General features: G+C 44.1%; 1 long non-coding RNA gene across 1 annotated transcript; it reads left to right on the top strand.

Annotated features, from left to right (window-relative positions):
• Positions 1–36: 36 nt before the first annotated feature.
• Positions 37–6,539, top strand: LOC105370923 (uncharacterized). Its single transcript, XR_932531.2, has 3 exons — positions 37–2,719; positions 3,223–3,335; positions 6,172–6,539. It is a non-coding gene; the product is annotated as an uncharacterized LOC105370923 (long non-coding RNA).
• The last annotated feature ends 12,383 nt before the right edge of the window (positions 6,540–18,922 follow it).

Raw genomic sequence — 18,922 nt, 5'->3', positions numbered from 1 at the left:
CAGTCTACCTGGAGCAGAGTTCATGATCTCATGGGGTGGGAAGAGCTTATCAACGATAAATACAAGCATTTACATTGGTGTGGCTGGGAACTGGCCTTTGAACAGAGCAGGCCTTAAGGAAAGTGACATTTTAGGAAGATGAAGTTGCAGGTGGTAGGCAGGACTGATTTCTTGCAAAAGAGATCAGTGACCCAAGATTGAGGTGGTAAGGGCACCAGGCCAGGGAGACAGCAATTGGAGTGGGGATGAAATAGCATGCTTCATGGCCTCACAGAATCTTGGAGAAAGAAGGAAGCTTAAATGTCATCCAGTTCAAACAGCACCTCTATCAATGCGCAGATCGCTTCCTCAATCTACTATTTTCTTGAAGAATTTTGGGGCCACGAAAGTCATCACTCGTGTGCCTTGGTCTACCTATGAGAGAGCTCATCTTTGTCAGGAGTGAAAAGCCAAAACTTTGCCCAGCGACTTTCATTTTTATAGATCAGGTCAAATTTCTATTCTTTTCTTTTCTTTTTTTTTTTTTTAACCTGACAACCCTTTAGAGATTTGAGGTCACCAACCATGAAATGCTGAATCTTCTTGTTTCTATGCTACCCAGCTCCAGGGCTGTGGTTTTTACATGATTGTTTCCGGCCAATGAATACACAATTGGATGATCTGAAAATTTTCGTTGTGAGTTTATAGACATATTGACACTGTTTATTTAGTCTTTTTTTGAAATTAAGTTTAGAAAGCCTACAACATATAAGGTTAAACATTTGTTATCTCCTTTGAACATACGATGGCCAATAGTGTTTTTTTTTTTAGAAATCTTGTTTCTGAGTATTTATTTACACAATCAAAGTTTGAAGACTTTAAAGAAGGATAGATTTGTGGCTTCTGAAAATGAGCTTAGAATTTTTATGAAGTGTAACTTGACTGTGGAAGTCAGAGAAGGAGCCACAGTGACCTTTGGGAGGCAGTGCAAATGGAGCAGCAAAGATGGACAAAGGACATTGAGAAATGAGGAGAATCATTGGAATTAGGAAGAAAAACTGAACATTTAGATGTGCAAGATGCAAAATAATCAGCAGTAGTTATGAGGAAGGGCATAAAATAGGACATGTGCTTCAGCTGTGAGCACTGAAATACAAGATATTGGGAACAGGGGTTAAAACACATGAGACAAATACTCTAAAAGCTGCATGATGGAGAAGCTTCATTTCAATATCTGTCCAAAATGCTTTCTCTATTGTAAAAAGCGCTCACACGATTTGCACACAGCCAAAACCTGCAAAGAACATATGCAATTCCACGCTAAGCAGTATGAACACATATTGGGGACATATCTGATCCTCAGACTCACTAAGAGTTTTCTCTGAGAATAAAAAAGGATTGCTAATCGTATTTAAATGACATGTAAGAATGAATAAATAAATGTATTATTATTTTAAAAATAACTATTAGGATTTTCTTAGCAGTGTATCTTGCACTGGATCCAGCCAGCATTAAGTAAGTATCAAAGACCAACAGTTGTTAGGATGCTTTTAAGATCCATTTATTAGTAGTAGTATTTTAAATCCCTTTGTATGAGCACATACATCAATATGTTATTGTCATAAAAGTTTCATCTCCATAGCTCAGTATCTATTAATACCATTTAGGGCCAAGTGCCAGTCAGATTCTAGGAATTCCACTCCAAAGAAGAAATCAAAATGAATGAAAACCTCCAATCTATATTTCCCATTTAGGAAGAAAAACTTTCTTGAATTTCACTTGAAAATTTATGAGAAGTTTGGGACTGAGTAAATGGTGGAAGGAGTGGAATTTTGAATTTACTGCCTAAATATCTTGCCCTCTGCTTAGTAAGGTTGGGGCTGCCAAGTAGCTCACTATAAGAGAGTGAATAATCCAGGTTCTTGGTGGAACTAGGCCATATATTAAATTTGGAAACTAGTCCAATGAAGTCCCTTCCAGGGCAACTCAATTAATCCTTCCTTAATGATCAGAACATTGAAACTTTTGCATGCAGACCAATCTCCAAAATGAATCAATTAAACTCAGAAGCTTCTCACAACAGCAAAGTAGGCAGGATTTAGAGCACAGGACAGTACAAAAGCAAAACCACATCATTGTGTGGTGCTATCTTACTGCGTCAAGACCTAGCTAGGACTCTATGGCCACAGGCAGTCTGTACACAAGTTGAAGCAATTAAGGAAGGCATGGGCTCCCTGTGCGAGAGGGAGGAACTCAACCCCTGCCCCTTGCTAAGAACTCTGAGGCAAAGTGCAGAGAATCTCTCCAGCTATTCAGTGTTCTTAATGGCTCATTAAGCTTAGATTTACTGGCTGTCCTTACAAGTCCACTGGACAGTTGTCTAGTCACTGAGATTTTTCCAAATGTTGAATTATATCTGATGATTGTTGAAGTCACATTTAGGGTGGGTGTGGGATTGGTGGCAGAGCTGGGAGACTGCCTAGCTGTATCATACAGAGATATATCCAGTTTCAAAGAACAGAACACCCTCCTGTATTCATTTGGTAGGGGGGCCAAGTACCACAAACTGAGTGGCTTAAACAACAGAAATTTATCGTCTCTCAGTTCTAGAGGCAAGAAGTCTGAGATCAAGGTGTCAGCAGGGCTGGTTTCCTCTGAGGGCTGTGCGGGAAGGATCTGTTCCAGGCCTCTCTGACTTGTATGTGGCTGCCTTCTCCCGCCTTCACTTTGTCTTCTTTGTGTATGTATATCCCCAGATTTCCACTTCTTATAAGGACATCAGTCCTATCGAATTAGGACCCACCCCTCATGACCTCATTTTAACTGGACTATCTTTGTAAAAAGATCCTATCTTCAAATAAGATCGCATTCTGAGATACTGGGGTTTATGACTCCAGCATATCTTTTTTCAGTTTAAGATTCATTTATTATTAGTAGTATTTCAAATCCCTTTGCAGGAGCACATACATCAATGTGTTATTGTCATAAAAGTTTCATTTCAATAGCTCAGTATCTATTAATACTATTTAGGGCCAAGTGCCAGCCAGATTCGAAGCAATTCCACTCCATAGAAGAGATCAAATGAATGAAAACCTCCTATAGTGGCTGAAGCAGGGTTTGACTGGCCTTACACACAGGCAGCCCCAAAGTAAGCAGATCAGGGCTGGTCTGGTTTCTCAGAGACACAACCAGGATCCACAGCTCTTTACATCTTTCTGCTCTGTCATTTGTTAAATGCCTCAGGGTCAAAGGATGGCTGCCACAACCCCAGACCTCTTGTCTATAGTCCAAGCATGAAGAAGGAGGGAAAAGTTTAGTGAAATGACAAGGATGGCCAGTAAAGAGGCACTTTGCTGGTGAGCTTCTGCCTTTTCATTCAGAGACTATCTCTCATTGGCCAGAACTGTTCATATGGTTGGAAAATCAAACATTTATAGTTAAGCAATGTCATCCTGAACAAAGTCTGTGTTATTTCTGTAAAGATAAAAGGTAAAGAGGGATAAATATTGGATAAGTAGCAGTAATACTTCCGAAGCTAAGACTGGAAGGGCTGGGAATTTGCCAAAGTAAGGGTCAAGGCTGAAGTCACCAGCCAGGTAGTTTAATAGGATCTGTGAGTGGGGCAAGGGCCAGTCTAGGGAAGGGAATGAGACCTGAAACCTAGAGAGAGGTTGGACAGCTGTCTCTTACAAGATGGAGGGGCCCAATACAGGCAGACTTGTCACTCTGTGGCCCTGTGGTCTCCTCCAGGAACAGTGCCATTTCCAAGGCTTAGCTTTGACCTCTGTTGCTAGTAGACTGGACATTCAGAGGTGACAGTGGCTACACTGGTCACAGTCAGTGGGAATGCATGCTGTTGGGCCTATGCATAGCTTCCATCTCTCCATTTATGTGCCCATCATACCACTTCTGGGGTGGCCAATGACAGGCTTGCCTCCTCTCCCATAGAACATTACACTGATACAGCCGGGCGCAGTGGCTTATGCCTGTAATCCCAGCACTTTGGGAGGACAAGGCGGGTGGATCATCTGAGGTCAGGAGTTTGAGACCAGCCTGGCCAACATGGAGAAACCCCGTCTCTACTAAAAATACAAAATTAACCAGGTGTGGTGGTGCATGCCTGTAATCCCAGCTACTCAGGAAGGCTGAGGCAGGAGAATCGCTTGAACTCAGGAGGCGGAGGTTGCGGTGAGCTGAGATTGTGCCACTGCACTCCAGCCTGGGCAACAAAAGCAAAACTTGGTCTCAAAAAAAAAAAAAAAAAAGAGCCTTACACTGATTCGTTATACCGATGACATCATGCTGATCAGACATGACCAGCAAGAGCTGACTAGTACTCCAGAGGTCTTACAAGGTAAGACATTTGCAATCTAGAGGTGGTAGATCAACCCTACAAAAATTTAGATTTTGGCCAAATGGCCAAATCATTTTGTCTACTTGGTTGTCTATTTTCTATTTTCTCTTCCATGATGGATGTTTTCTGGTGGGCATTAACTTATAATTCAAATATCACCAGAGGTTGAGCCCACTCTCATATTCATGTTCATCTACATGCCTCTACTGCAGACTTCCTTGTCTCTAATCTTCCAATGCTTTCATTTTGGTTCCTAACCAGCTGGTTCAGCCATTGGCCCCTGCTCAGGAATCTGTGTATGTTTTCCTCTTAGCCACTTTTCTTCCTCACAAAGTGTATTAGGAGGATCCAGCTTTTCTGCGGGAAAGATTTGTCCCTCTTGCCTGTCTTTCAGTGGCTGTAATACAGCTGCTGCCCATTTTCAGCTCATGCCTACATAGCAAGCTGATACAGCAGTAACCAAGCTTAGACATTTTCTCCTCCTTCAGTTGATCATATGGGACCCATATGGCTTCGATGAGTTGAAAAAACTGTTGAGAGTGCCTTAAGCTTCTGGGCTACCTGCTCATGAAGTTTATTCATGGCCCCAGTCCTGCTCAGACCAAGTCTTAGAGGTATAATTTTCATCTTATGATAGACTGCTGCTGAGCCTATTTCAATGCAGGACTTGGAGAATTCAGCTCATGATGGACTGTGGTGGATGCATGGTCATTTGCCCCCAAATCAAGTGTTCCATTTCTACCTGGGTCCAATGATGTACCAGGAACTGTTTATTGAAAGGCGTATAAATCTTTGCTGTAGATAGTGTGGCATTGGTCCAGTACCCCAGAGACCTGCTTGCAATTTTTCCAATGGGCCTTGCAATAAACTCCACCACGGCATCTTCTAATGCACCGGATACCTCCAACATCATGCAGTCTGCTAGACTGGACTATGTGGCAGGGCTGCACAGAGCTCTTTCCTGACCTGGGCCCCACTTCAAGCTGTCAGTCTTTTGTGTTGACCGGTAGGTGGGCCCAAGCAGTATTCCTAGATGTAGAACCCAAAGAGGCCCACCTTTCTTCTTTAGGTTAGGCAATAAAAGATACATCAATTAGTTTTTTACTTCGGAGGTAATATCCCAGAACATGCCTGACTTCTTGACTCTTAAAAAATTATCAAAGTGACCGATTTCTGAATCTTTGTAGTGTTTATCTCCCACCTCTAGATTGCAAATGTCTTACCTTGTAAGACCTCTGGAGCTCTGGAGTACTAGCCAGCTCTTGCTGGTCATGTCTGATCAGCATGATGCCATTGGTGTAATGAATCAGTGTACTGTTCTATGGGACGTCCAAGTGCCTTAGATTTTTTAGACTATATTATGATAGAGACTGAGAGAGTTAACAGCCTAGAGGCAAAACTGGAAATGAATACTATTGTCTTATCTATGGTAATGAAAGCTGTTTCTGATGCTCTTTTCTGAGTGGAATAGAAATGAGCTTGCCAAACCAATGATGGTATATCTTGTACCTGAGGCCTTATTAATCTATTTTAGCAATAATACTGCCTTCTGCAGGGCAGCTGTAATCAAGACTACTTAGTTGATCTTGTGGGAATCTATAGTCACTCTCCAGGATCCATCTGGTCTCTGCAGGGTCTAGACTGGTGAATGAAACTGATATATGTTATGGCCTATCACCCCTGCCTCCTTGAAATCCTTAAAGATGGCACTAATATCTGGCATCTCCCTAGATAGCACATTGTTTCTGATTAACTATTTTGGCCAGGGCTAGGGGAGGGGTTGCAAATTCAGAGGGTTCCACTTGGCCTTCTCTACTATGATATCTGTTACTCCACAGGCCAAGAACCCCATGTGGGGCTGTGACAGGCAGAAGGATGGCTCCTTGAAGATACTCATGTCCTAATTCCCAGAACATGTGAATATGCTACTTCAACAGCAAAAGGGACGTTGCAGATGTAAATTACGGACCTCGAGACCGGGAGATTATTCTGGATTGTCTGGTGGACCCACTGTAATCACAAGGTTCATATAAGGGAAATAGGGAAGCAGGAGAGTCGGAGAAGGAGATGGGATGATGGAGGCAGAGGTTGGAGTGATGCAATTGCTAGCTTTGAAGGTAGAGGAAGAGACCTTAAGCCAAGGAATGTGGGTGGCTTCTAGAAGCTAAAAAAAGGCAAACAAACAAACAAACAACAACCCTGCAACAGATTCTTCCCTAGACCCTCCAGAAGGAACACTGCCTTGCTAACACCTTGATTTTAGCCCAGTAAAATTCATTTTGAACTTCTAACCTGCAGAACCATAAGATAATAAATGTTTGTCATTTTAAACTACTTATGTTTGTGGTGATTTGTTACAGCATAATAGGAAACAATTACAGGGGCTACCCCAACTGACAAGTGCATCAACCCCAACTATGCACTCTAGAACTGGGAAAATGACCACCAGTTGTATCAATTGACCCAGTGGACCAACTGTAAGCTAGATGTTAGCCAGGACTCTACTGACTACGTGGTACTTGTAAGCCCTCACTCTGACAAGGAGGTCATGATGAAGCTTTGGGTCTTTTGGTGTCAATGTCAACTTAAATCCTCTGTCCAGTAATACCTGAAACACCTGGGCATTCCCCCTTCCCCAGTGTGTAGTCACTAGGGTATTGCTCGTAGGTCCTTTGATGAAGGACTGAGAGATTCATTGCAGTATATACTTCCTGTGGTGTTGCAGGGTCCTTTCTCTAGGACACCTGGCCAACTCCTCAGTCAATGGGTTTTGGATCTGAAATTGAAGATCTTCAGGTCTGGGAACTGAATGAAGGATCATGACTTTTTTTATTGGGGTGATCACCATCAGCTTTCTACTCTTTCATTCTTGACTTCTTCTGATTATAGATGTCAAACAGTACCCTTGTTGGTTCCTGCCTATTTTGCCCTTCGGTGCACCATGTTCTATAAACCATCTCCACAGTTCCCTGTGGGTCAAGCCCCCTTGGCTACCCTTCTGACTTTGTAGTAATTGTGGCCCCCCACTTCTGGTGGTGAGGGACTGCTACCAGGGCTCCATTATTTGGGGCCCCATTCTGCAAATAACCATTAATAAGTCCAGCTTTGTGAGTGTCTCATCTACAGTTAGCCCTACCCAGCCTGCTGAGGACAGGTATCACTGAATTGATTAGTGTTCTTTGTGAACCTCTTGCCAGCTCATTCCTGGTGGCCTTGTTGAATGATGGGTTCACTGAGCCTACCCATGGAGCATAATCTTCTAGTGGGTCTTTTGGCCTCATATAATATATCCATTCCAGCATGTCTTACTTATGAATCTTGCTGTGAGTCTAAGGTAAGACTAAGCATAGATTAATTCCTCCATTGTCATTTAGTTAGCCTATGCACAGTGATAAGTTGCATGTCAATAACTGTCAGGAGGGGGCCACTGCCTGCCACGACTCTCAATTAATCTATGCTGGTTAAATATTCTAAAACCTGCATTTTTATTATCGACTTTCTATTATAGGTGAAAGGGAAAGGAAGATAAATATCTGAAACCAAGGAGTGTGAGATGGGGAAATCTGATCAGAGCTGAGCTCTTAGAGAAGTGGTTGTTGGTTGGATGGGAGTTAAGAGGCAGAGGAGAGGAAGAAGGTAGGGAAGCTCAGAGAAAACCGAAGTTCAAAGGAGTAGGATGGGGCAAGAGCACACAGCATCTCAACAAAACCTAGAGCTCCAATGTTGCTGTAATTGGAAGACAAGAGTCCTAACACTGCAGAGGCAAGGATGGACTCAGGTCAAAGACTGTGGCTGGGAAGGCCCTTCAGCCTTGGCTCCCAGTCTCCCTACCCTTCTCTGTCTCTCCCATCCATCCAGCACTCAGGGATCAAGAAACTCTCAAGGAAAAACTTCATCTTTTTCCAATTAAAAAAAATCCCGGCTGGGTGTGGTGGCTGACGCTTGTAATCCCAGCACTTTGGGAGGCCAAGGTGGGCAGACCACTTGAGGCCAGGAGTTGAAGACAAGCCTAGCCAACATGGCGAAACCCCATCACTACTAAAAATACAAAAAATTAGCTGGGCGTGGTGGCAGGCATCTGTGATCCCAGCTACTGGGGAGGCTGAGGCAGGAGAATTGCTTGAACCCATGAGGCGGAGGTTGCAGTGAGCCAAGATCGAGCCATTGCACTCCAGCCTGGGCAACAAGAACAAAACTGCATCTCAAAACAAACAAACAAACAAACAAACAAACAAAGAAAACACAAAACTGCTTTGCCTAACTGGAGAATGTGGAATTTCTAATTCCACATTGAGTATGCTGCCATGTTTTTTTCCTTGTGCGTCTCTCCTGTTCTCTCATCCCTGTGACCCTCTGCTATCCCCTTTCCTTGCTCCGTCTCCTGGTTTGTTTGTCCTTCTGTCCCGTATCTTTTCTGGAACTCTCCTCTTTGACCATCACCATTCTCTGGCCCTTTCATTCTTCCTGCTGCCTTCCTTTCGCCTCTTTTCCTCTCCTGGTAGACACCCTCTCTCCTTTCAGAGGCCCTGTTCTCCTAACACACCCGAGCACCTGCTCAAGGCCACTGCAATCACGCATGCCACTCTCACACACTCTTCTTCCCTTTGCATTTTCTGGGCCTTGCTTTTGACTGAGCAATTGGCTTCTGACGTCAAAGTTTTCAGATACAATAGATGTCAGTTATTCAACGTCACTCTAGAGGCTAATCTGAATTCAAGAACTTTGGCTTGAGAGGAAATGTTTGGAGAAAGGCAATTTCACTACTTTTCAGTCTATAGATAACCTCTTCTACCATTGTCAAGGGGAAAGGAGAACACGTCTACATCTTGTCAAAAGCCTTTACAGAAAGATAAGATTCATTCTCATTCTTTAAACACTGTTGCTGATGTAAAACACCTTACCTTCAAAGAGGTCAGTATTTCTTCTACTTCACTACAAAATTACTAAGGAAAATCACATATTCCTGCATTGAGATAAAACTGCATCACGAAGTTTTAGTAAAACAATTTTTTCCCCAAGTCTCAAAGGACGGCTTCATCCAACATTCAACAAATGAGTTGAAATGTTAAAAAATTTAAACTCACATGTACTCTACAAATGGAAAATGTACAAAATATGGCAACCTACATATAAGCAAGGTTTGTTTTCTTTAAGGTGAATCAAATTTTGTCATTAGGTTATTACTATTACTGGTCTATTTGAAATCAAGCACTGTAATTGGATATTTCTCTGGAGTTCAAATCATCAGGGGAGGGGAAGCCTCTGGGGTCAGGGTTGGAGGAAATTGATGGGATTTCATAGACTGGCAGGTTGGCCATAACCTCATGGATTCCTTAAGACGAAAACCCTTAGGGCATGGTTTCTCAACCTCTCCACTATTGAGATTTGGGGAAGAGTTATTCTTTGTTGTCAGGGGCTTTCCTGTGTGTTGTGTGATGCCTAGCAGCATGCTTGGCCTCTGCCTCCTAGATGTCAGCAGCATCCCTCCTCCCACATATAACAACTAAGAATGTCTCCAGACATTGCCAAATGTTCCCGAGGGGTGCGGTGTGGGTGGAAATCGCCAATGGTACAGAATCTGCCTTAGATTATAAACGAGGAAGGAGATCCAGAGACCTCATGGGGATTTCCATTAGTGGAAAAGGAAAGATATTCTTGGCTAGATCCTCTAGATCCTCCAAACCAAGAATCCCACCAGGCCCAGGAAAGCCCAGTAGGTAGCTGTGGGGGGGTCTCCCTCAAAGCCAACAAGCTGTACCTGTGGGGCATTAGAGAAGCAGGTGGGGGTGATTGAATGGGAAGCAGAGATCATATTTATGCTCATTGAGGAACCCTTCCCCTCATACCAAATCTTTCAGCTTTCAGGAGACAGCAGCATTTGTTCTCCAACAGGCAACACTAACAGAAGACCCCTGGTCAGTTCTAATGGAACCTCTGAAGATGAGACAGAATCTGAAATAGCAGAGCTTGTTCCTGAAGGGGAGTAGGAGGAAAGCCCAGGCAGTGACCCTGGCTGGAGTAGCTGGTTACTATTGGTGTCTTCTTTTACTGGGCCTGCTGCCAAGATAGGAGAGGAGGGAAAGGAAGAAACATGTTGAGACCTGCAAGAGCAGTCGGGTGAGCAGAGACAGCAGCTGCTCAGGCTGGAAAAACAGCTGGACAGGCTGCAAAAAAGAAAAAAAGAAACAACAAAAAACAGAGGCTTGGAATGAAGAAAAGGAATCCCCTGCTCTCAAGATGAGAAGAACTATTGCCTAAGGACTGAGGATAAGATTCTTCAGCTTTGAAAGAGATTTCAATAGTGGGGCATTTCATCCTCTTTTTCAAAAATCTGTACCAAGGGAACTTGAATCCAGCACACATCCAGTCTCCGGATTGCAGGGCAAGACTGAGCCCAGGCGCAGGTGTTCTCAGAGGAGGCTTGGAAGAGCTGACTTTAAAGGGACACCTATGCCCAGGAGAACTGGTGGAACCAGGGCCTCCTATGGAAGGCAAAGCCTTCAGCATCTGAGCATGAGCCTCACTGTCTTGTGTGAGGGAGATTTTGATGAGAAACAAGTGGATAGTAGAGGCCCTCAGAACATAAGCAGTGTGTGTGTGTGTGTGTGTGTGTGTGTGTGTGTGTGTGTGTGTGTGTCTGGTGTTTATGTTTGTGTAGGGGACTCATCTTTGACCAAATTCTCTGCATTGTAAAGAGCCAGAACAGTCACCAAGCCATGTGGATATCTTACTGGGTAGGAAAAATGGGTCTATATCCCTTTATCCAAATTCCATCGAGTTCCCATTTCTTCCCAGCAATCTCCATTCAGGGAGCAGAATCTGTCTCCTGAGAACCATGCAAGGAGTTGAGGAGAGCCCATGATTCAGGAAAATATTCAGGTTCACAGAGTCAAGGCTATTTGGCTTGAAGAGGATTGTTTTTATTTAAGTCTCTCACCCATACGCCCAGGGGGGAAAATCCATTAAAATTTTTATCTCTAACTGATGTCCGGTGTCCTGTGAAGGGGTCCTACAGAACACTTCAGAAAAAGAATTGTGCTAGCATGGACCAAGAGACTCCTGATAGGAAAATTCCCTGGGATGAGGTGTTGGAGGAGAAACTGTGTGAGTCATCCTGTCTCCATTGCCCAGCACAGGGACTGGCAGAGAGAAAGCATCAGCATATGTTTGTGGATTGATCAGATGAATTAGTTAATTAATTAAAGGGTGAATGCTTCTTTGCACAGTGAAGGCCTGCTGGGCTCTGTCAGCACCCTCTCCACTGTCTTCTGGAGGCTGCCTGATGCCTCTTGCAGGGAAACATGGGGCTGGAGGAGGAAGCCCATGTGGTGGTCCTTTGCTTCCAACTCCAATTCTGATTGCTGTCTGGTCACTGAGACAAAGATTGCTCAGAGTGGGGAGGAGCTTAAAGGCCAAAACAAAATCCAGGGGTGCCTGGATGAGCTCAGCCTGTCACAGAAAAGGCTCAGGGACAGCATGTGGAGCAGTAGCAAAGGAGGAATCTCTTCATATGGATATTGGCTTTATGACATCATCAGTCTCTCTGGGCACTGCTTTGACTTGGTGTTCCCTGGAATCCCCAAGGAGCTTCTGGGATGAGAAGGCTTATCAATGACTTAGAACATTTTATGGGTTTGGCTGGCTTTGGACAGGAACGTGATCATATCTGAGGTTTCCTTTTTCATTTGGGATGGCTTGATTCGTTCTGAGATGTGAGGTCTAGAATGAAACAAGCTGTGCCTGAAGGGACAGGAGAGAAGGGAGGCTGGTTGGATATTGGAGCAAAGAGACCATTTGGATCCTAGAAGGAGGGATAGGGACATGCGTCCCTTTCAGTTGGCTCCAGCCTAGTGGGTGGGCAAAAAATGCCCAGGTTATATTTGCCAGATGCGCTAGGAAGCCCTAGAGCTTTTAGTATTAACGACCCAAGCCTCGGGAACAGAATCTGAAGTGTGGCTCAGGGAAGCCATCTTGGAAGGCATTGGGTTTCTAATGGAGAGAGAGGAGTGGGCGCAGGGAAACGTCAGTGCCAGTCATCTGCTGACTGCCGTGTTTGAACTTCTTGGTATGACAGAGAGAAGAGGAGAGGCAGGGAGATATCTGCCTATCCCTGAAAATCAGGAAGGAAAGTCCTGATGCCCGGAAGTTCAGAGAGGGAGATGACGTTTCTGGGGTGGGCAGTGCTCCCTTGGAAATGGGAATTATTTTAGGACCATTTAGCCAGACCATTCCTTTTTTCCCCCACTAAAAGGGGGCTTCAGTCAAAACAGTTGCTTTCATTTTCCATCCTAAAATAAGGCCCAGGGCACACAGTGTGTATCTTTTCTTTCTGCTTTTGGAAAGAAGGCAGTAATAAAACAAGGGTTCTTACAGAGCATCTTCCACGCACATACATTGTTCCAGATTTCATACCCTGTCTTGCCCATTTATTTGCCTATAGTATATGCTCAATAAATGTTTGAAGCAAAATTGCTTTAAATAGTCCTTAATTATTTTGGCTTTTTCTATATCTAGAAACCAGAAGAGAATGCTAAATTAGAATTTGGGAACTGGATGTATATGGCAGAGCTAGCTAATTACTGCATACATTTTCTCTTCTTCCTGGGAATACAGCTAGATGACACTTCCCAGCTACCTTTGCAATGAATGGGGCCATGCGATCAAGTTCTAGCCAGTGGAATGTGAGCGAAGGGATTTGCTTTATGTTCTGGGCTCCCATACATTCTTGACCTTCTGTGTTAACCTTGGAGAAGGTAGAACTACAAGATGGAGGGATTGTGGGTCCCTGACTCACCACTGGAGGAGTTATTTGCTGATCACAAACACCTATTTTGGATTCATATGAGCCAGAAATAAACTAATATTATATGATGCCATTGAGATTTTGTGCTTTACCTGCTACATTACATCTAGTGTTACCTAGTTGAGAAACTGGTACTTGGTACCTTGAAGCGAGGTGTTTCTGTAACAAAACTCAAAATATGTGGTGTTGGCTTACCCTCTAGCCATGGAGTGAGAAAATTGCTATCAGGTGATGGAAAGATGGAGCTCTGTGTCATGCAGTGCCAAAACATTTAGTAAAACTATTACCTTTGATCATTTTAAAGGCAGGCTACATATTGAATAAAACTGTGGCTCTAGAAAAAAATGTGTTGGCTTTTACTTTTTACTTTTTGTGTTCTACTATGAGATACAAACACACTCAGGAAATGTTTGGCCAATTAGCAAGCATAAATGAAAAAGAATATAGAGAAAAGCCAATGCTTTTAGACAATACATATTAAAAAATAAGGCTGATATTAGTGAAACACAGTGATTGAGTTCTGTGGTGAAGATCAGAGGAAAGGTGTGGCCTTATTACCTATTGTTTGCGATGGTCTCAAGGTAGCAGCGTTAGGTAGAGAGATGGAATGGAGGCGAAGAGGCAATAAAGACATCAGACTTGAAAATTACATCTAAGAAAGAATTTGGGGTATGATTCCTGGCACATGGAACTACCTGGAAGAAAATACATCAGAAACCTGCCAAGTTTTTGAGATCACTGGATTGCCAAGGAAACCGGTAGCCTACATTTAAAAAGGTTTTGACTGAGACTTAAAACAATCCCCACTATGCAAGCCTTGCACAAGTGGAGGTGGGCTGCTGCGAATGCAGGACCTCATACTCACCCGTACCCACTTCAACAGTGACCCCGGAGGGTAATGGGTTAGTGGGCGAGGAAAACCCTCCCAGAAGGCTGAGCCAGTGGCCATGAGAACAAGGGACACAGAGTATTTCCCTGAAGCAGAATCAGGGTTAGAAAAGGAACTTCCCCTAGGGCCAGGGGAAGGGGCCAGGCAGGATTGCATCACTGCTTTGGACCTGTGTCGCTGTGGGTCTCCCATTCTTCTCATATCTGGCTGGGACTTATTGTGGTTTTCCGGTTCCTACTCCACTATGGTTTGACTGGCATGTATGTGGAGAGGAGATAGTCTGTCCTCTGGCTCTTTGGTTGTTGCACCACAAACAGCCTCATCTGGACCCAGAGATCCTGGGCTGTGAGCTGGTTGTTGTGGCTGGCGTGAGCATGAGTCTGTTTTCTGCATCCTGAGAAGGGAGAAACAGATATTCCGTGCCCAGAGGGGTGGCCTGTGGCAGACACTGCTGGTTGTTCACAAAGCCCACTTCTCCCTGGACACACAGCCACACCACATTGCCCAGCATCCCTTGCCACAGGCATGTCTGAGTTTTAAGCCACTGGAATATGGGTGAAGGTGACAGGTCTACTCCCAGGCCCAGCCCATAAAACCTTCCCACCCATCCTCTCTTCTCCCAGTCATGGCAACCGTGGGAGCCATGTGTTGAAGTTGGCAGAGACACAGGATAGAAGGAGACTGGGCCCCGGAATCGCCACTTGGAAGAAAGCTACCTGATGGCTGAGAGCACCTCTTTTGCACTTCACATGAAAAAGAATCCCCTGGTTGTTACTCTGCTGCGATTTGGGGGTTTATCTGTTTCAGCAGCAGAGTGACCTCAACTCACATAACTGTAAAGGAACAACGTTTGCTTTCCCTCATTCGCTGGGGATTCTCTGCTCCTTTCAGAACCATGCTCACTTCCATGGATGAGTCGATCTCCCCTCTTTCCTGTCAACTTGAAGAAGTGTGGAAAATAATTTATCAGGGAATTGGGAGATTTGGCCATAGCCACAGTTCTGTCACTTTCTCCTGGCTGCGTGACTTGCACCCCTCTTTATTCATTTGTCCAATGAGAGTATTAATAAGTAATCTGACTATTTTACTAGGTAAATGTTTAAAGCAAATGTAATAAGACTCATCAAGCTGTTGTCAGACTTTGAAAGCACTGTGTGATTCTTTAGGTCTTGTTGTATTTAGACACACACATCACTTAATGTTTGACCATGAAGAAAAATATTTAATCTCCTTCAGAATTATTTTTCCCATCTGTAACAGAGGAATAGAAAAACCTCCCTTTCACAGGCTAGTTATGAGGATTCAATGAAATAATCTGTGCATCATGCCTGGTGGAAGGCATGGCCAATCATGGTGGCTCAGTAAATGCTAGTTTTAGAATTATTAGTCTTATTTTGTTCTGTCCTATGTTAGGCATTTATTATGCCTGCTTACGTGGATGAAAATGTATATAACACTGTCCCTGCCTCAAGAAAAATTTGGAACTGGAGGAAGAGAACTTACTGTCCATTTCTCTCCCCACAAGCCTTCTCTTCCATCCTCCTGGTGCTCTGACCCAGGCATAAAGGGTGACTCCTGCCTCAGCATCCCCTTGGCCCAGAAAACATCCCCTTGTTTTCTGTGTCCTGAGAAGGGAGTAAAAGGTATTCTGTGCCCAGAGGGGTGGTTTGTGGCAGACACTGCTGGTTGTTTACCAAGCCCACTTCTTCTCTCTGGACACACAGCCATGCGATATTGACCAGCATCCCTTGCCACAGGCATGTCTTCTCTCTCAGGTTTTTGGTTGGCTTTCTGCTGTTTCTGACTCTTGCTTCCTTTTCTCTTTTTCCAAGCTACATCCTCTACTTTCACAAGGCTCTCTCTCCTTTGCCTTATGTTGTTCCCATTTTCCCTTGGCCCTTTACTCTGTCCTCCTGGCTTCCCTCTTCCTTGCTCCTCCTCCTTGGTGCTTCCCTGCCGCCCAGGCCATGCCACAGAGGCATTCTTACCCTCTGCACTATGGACGTCCTCCTTGTGATGATGTGGACTTGCTTCTGGTTTTCCCAACAAAGCATTCATTTGCCTTGATGCAGAAGGTCAATCTGCAATAGGAGCAGGTGAATGTGCTCAGAGAGACGAAGTTTTATTTTTCATGAATCAATAGTGTGATGTTCAGGTGATCAAGGAGGAGAAAGAGTTTTTTAAATGATGAATTCTTATAAGAGCCTTCACACAAATATTATTCCTAGTGCTTAAATAAAAACACTGCTATATAAAGCTATCCCTTGAAAAGCGGTACATGGGCTGGGCATGGTGGCTCATGCCTGTAATCCCAGCACTTTGGGAGGCCAAGGCGGGTGGATCACAAGGTCAGGAATTTGAGGCCAGCCTGGCCGATATGGTGAAACCCCGTCTCTACTAAAAACACAAAAATTATCCGGGCATGGTGTCACACGCCTGTAGTCCCAGCTGCTGGGGAAGCTGAGGCAGGAGAATCACTTGAACCTGGGAGGCGGAGGTTGCAGTGAGCTGAGATCGCACCACTGCATTCCAGCCTGGGCAACAGAGTGAGATTCCATCTCAAAACAAAACAAAACAAAACAAAAAAACAAAGAAAAGCGGTACATGTTCTTTTTATTCAGCCACGATTTAGCATAGAAAAATCTAATATTTATCAATGAAAGTAAAATCCTTTTCTGTGCATCCTCTGAGGCACTGATTTCTATATTCTGTTACACATAATAATTAGATAACAACATCAACAGCAGTGACAATAGCTAGCATTTACTTGAAGACAAAGGTGAATAAGACAGAGTCCTTGTCCTCAACAGCTCACAGTCTGTTTTATAAATCTGGTTCCAATTAAATTTAATTACCAGAGCCTCTTAATGTCACCCTTTATTCTGCATAGAGAAAACACTAAGTTTTATCCTGTTTATTTTGTAATTCAGGGAGGACTGATAATAAGTAAAGCAAGCCATTCTCAGTTCCTTATTCTGCTATTAAGTAGCAGTTAACTTCCAATTTTCTTTCTTGCTCTCCTTAATCTCTCAGCTCATCCTGATTCCGGGTAAAATGGCAGCTTTATCATATGCATCGAATTACTTTCTCCATTTCACTTTGCTTTCATTGCATTTTGATTGAAAATCAAAAAGAACATAAAATCGGGGAGCATCTGCCTCAGGGAAGAGGTCATCCACGGGCCATACTTTGGAGGAATTTCTGCCAAGTTGAGTACAGTGGGACCAGCCTGAAGGAGGGCACTGATCACCAACTGGTGGCTTTCCTTCTAAGAAGCAGTGGGCTGGTGAAGGATGAGAGGAAACACTATCCTGGCTTGGAAGGCAGAAGGATGGGCCATAGGTCAGAAGGGGAATGCCATCCCTGGAATCCTTATTCCCACTGAACGGCCAGCAGCTAAGAGCAGCTGAGTCACATATGGCTTCACCAAGATGCCAAGGAACTGCAGTCCTGGGACGGAGCCAGAGAACAGCCAGACTGTGTATCTGGAAGGTCATAGCTGGGACCGACCACAGAGAGTGTCCTCTGGGCTAGACTGTAAGCTTCATGAGAGCAGGGACAGTCTGTCTCTCTCATCACCATATCCTCTGTGCCTTGCTGGCTGGATAATAGGTGTGTAATAGATATTTGTGGACATAAGGTGAGATCATTGAATTTATAATGTAAATTTACTTCAATCAGTCTGTTGCAATTTGCAGTGTTTTTTTCTCCAGGCCTGTTGCATTAGTGTCATAATGGGACATCCCTTTATGGCTGGGCTGGGTTGGAGCTATTGTTTCCTGGATCTCATTTCTTCTGACTAATCAGTTATCTAAACTTTTAAAGAAACTGTTCCATCAGGGGAGCGGAGTGTTCTATTGTCAACAAGTATCACTGATGGGAATCTTATATTTAATTCTTCTTTCTTTCTTTTTTTTTTTTTTTTTGGAGGCGGAGTCCCCTCTACCTCCTGGGGGCCAGGTGCGGTGGCTCATGCCTGTAATCCCAGCACTTTGGGAGGCCGAGGTGGTCAGATCACGAGGTCAAGAGATCGAGACCATCCTGGTCAACATGGTGAAATCCCGTCTCTACTAAAAATACAAAAATTAGCTGGCCATGGTGGCACGTGCCTGTAGTCCCAGCTGCTAGGGAGGCTGAGGCAGGACATTCACTTGAACCCGGGAGGCAGAGGTTGCAGTGAGCCGAGGTCGTGCCATTGCACTCCAGCCTGGGTGACAGAGCGAGACTCCGTCTCAAAAACAAAAACAAAAACAAACAAACAAAAAAATCCTCTACCTCCTGGGTTCCAGCGATTCTCATGCCTCAGTCTCCTGATTAGCTGGAACTACAGGCGCCTGCCACCATGCCCGGCTAAGTTTTGTATTTTTCATAGAGACAGGGTTTTGCCATCTTGGCCAGGCTGGTCTTGAACTCCTGACCTCAGGTGATCTACCCATCTCAGCCTCCCAAAGTGCTGAGATTACGGAAGTGAGCCACTGCGCCCGACCTCTTCTTTCTTTTTAAGTAACCTATTTTTCTTTCTCTAGAGTCTAGAAGTTTTAGACTTGTTTGCTTCATTTTTGGTGTTCTGAAATGTTGCAATGATGCGTCTGAGTGGGGTCATTTCTCAGTCATCCTGCCCCAGCACTTTATGGGGCCTTTTAATTTGAAAATCAGTGTTTCCCTGTAGCTGGGGGAAATTTCCTTTCATTTTTGACTAGGTTTCTCCCTGTTCTAAAAGATCTTTCTGGAATTTATATTTGAATTGTTTGATCTTCTGAGCTTGAGGCATACGCGTACAAGAGTCTCTCACTTTTATCTTGCCACCCTTCAATTGAAAATGTAAAATAAACTCTGGCGAGCGTATTTTTAAGATGCTAAAGCTTGCTCTTGTTTATCGGTTGTTGCTTTTTGTCAG

The sequence above is a fragment of the Homo sapiens genome, chromosome 15 (genome assembly GCF_000001405.40).
Source record: "Homo sapiens chromosome 15, GRCh38.p14 Primary Assembly".
In the NCBI taxonomy this organism is placed as follows: domain Eukaryota; kingdom Metazoa; phylum Chordata; class Mammalia; order Primates; family Hominidae; genus Homo; species Homo sapiens.
The sequence above is the reverse complement of the archived record's forward strand: the minus strand, read 5'-3'. Positions and strand labels throughout refer to the sequence as shown.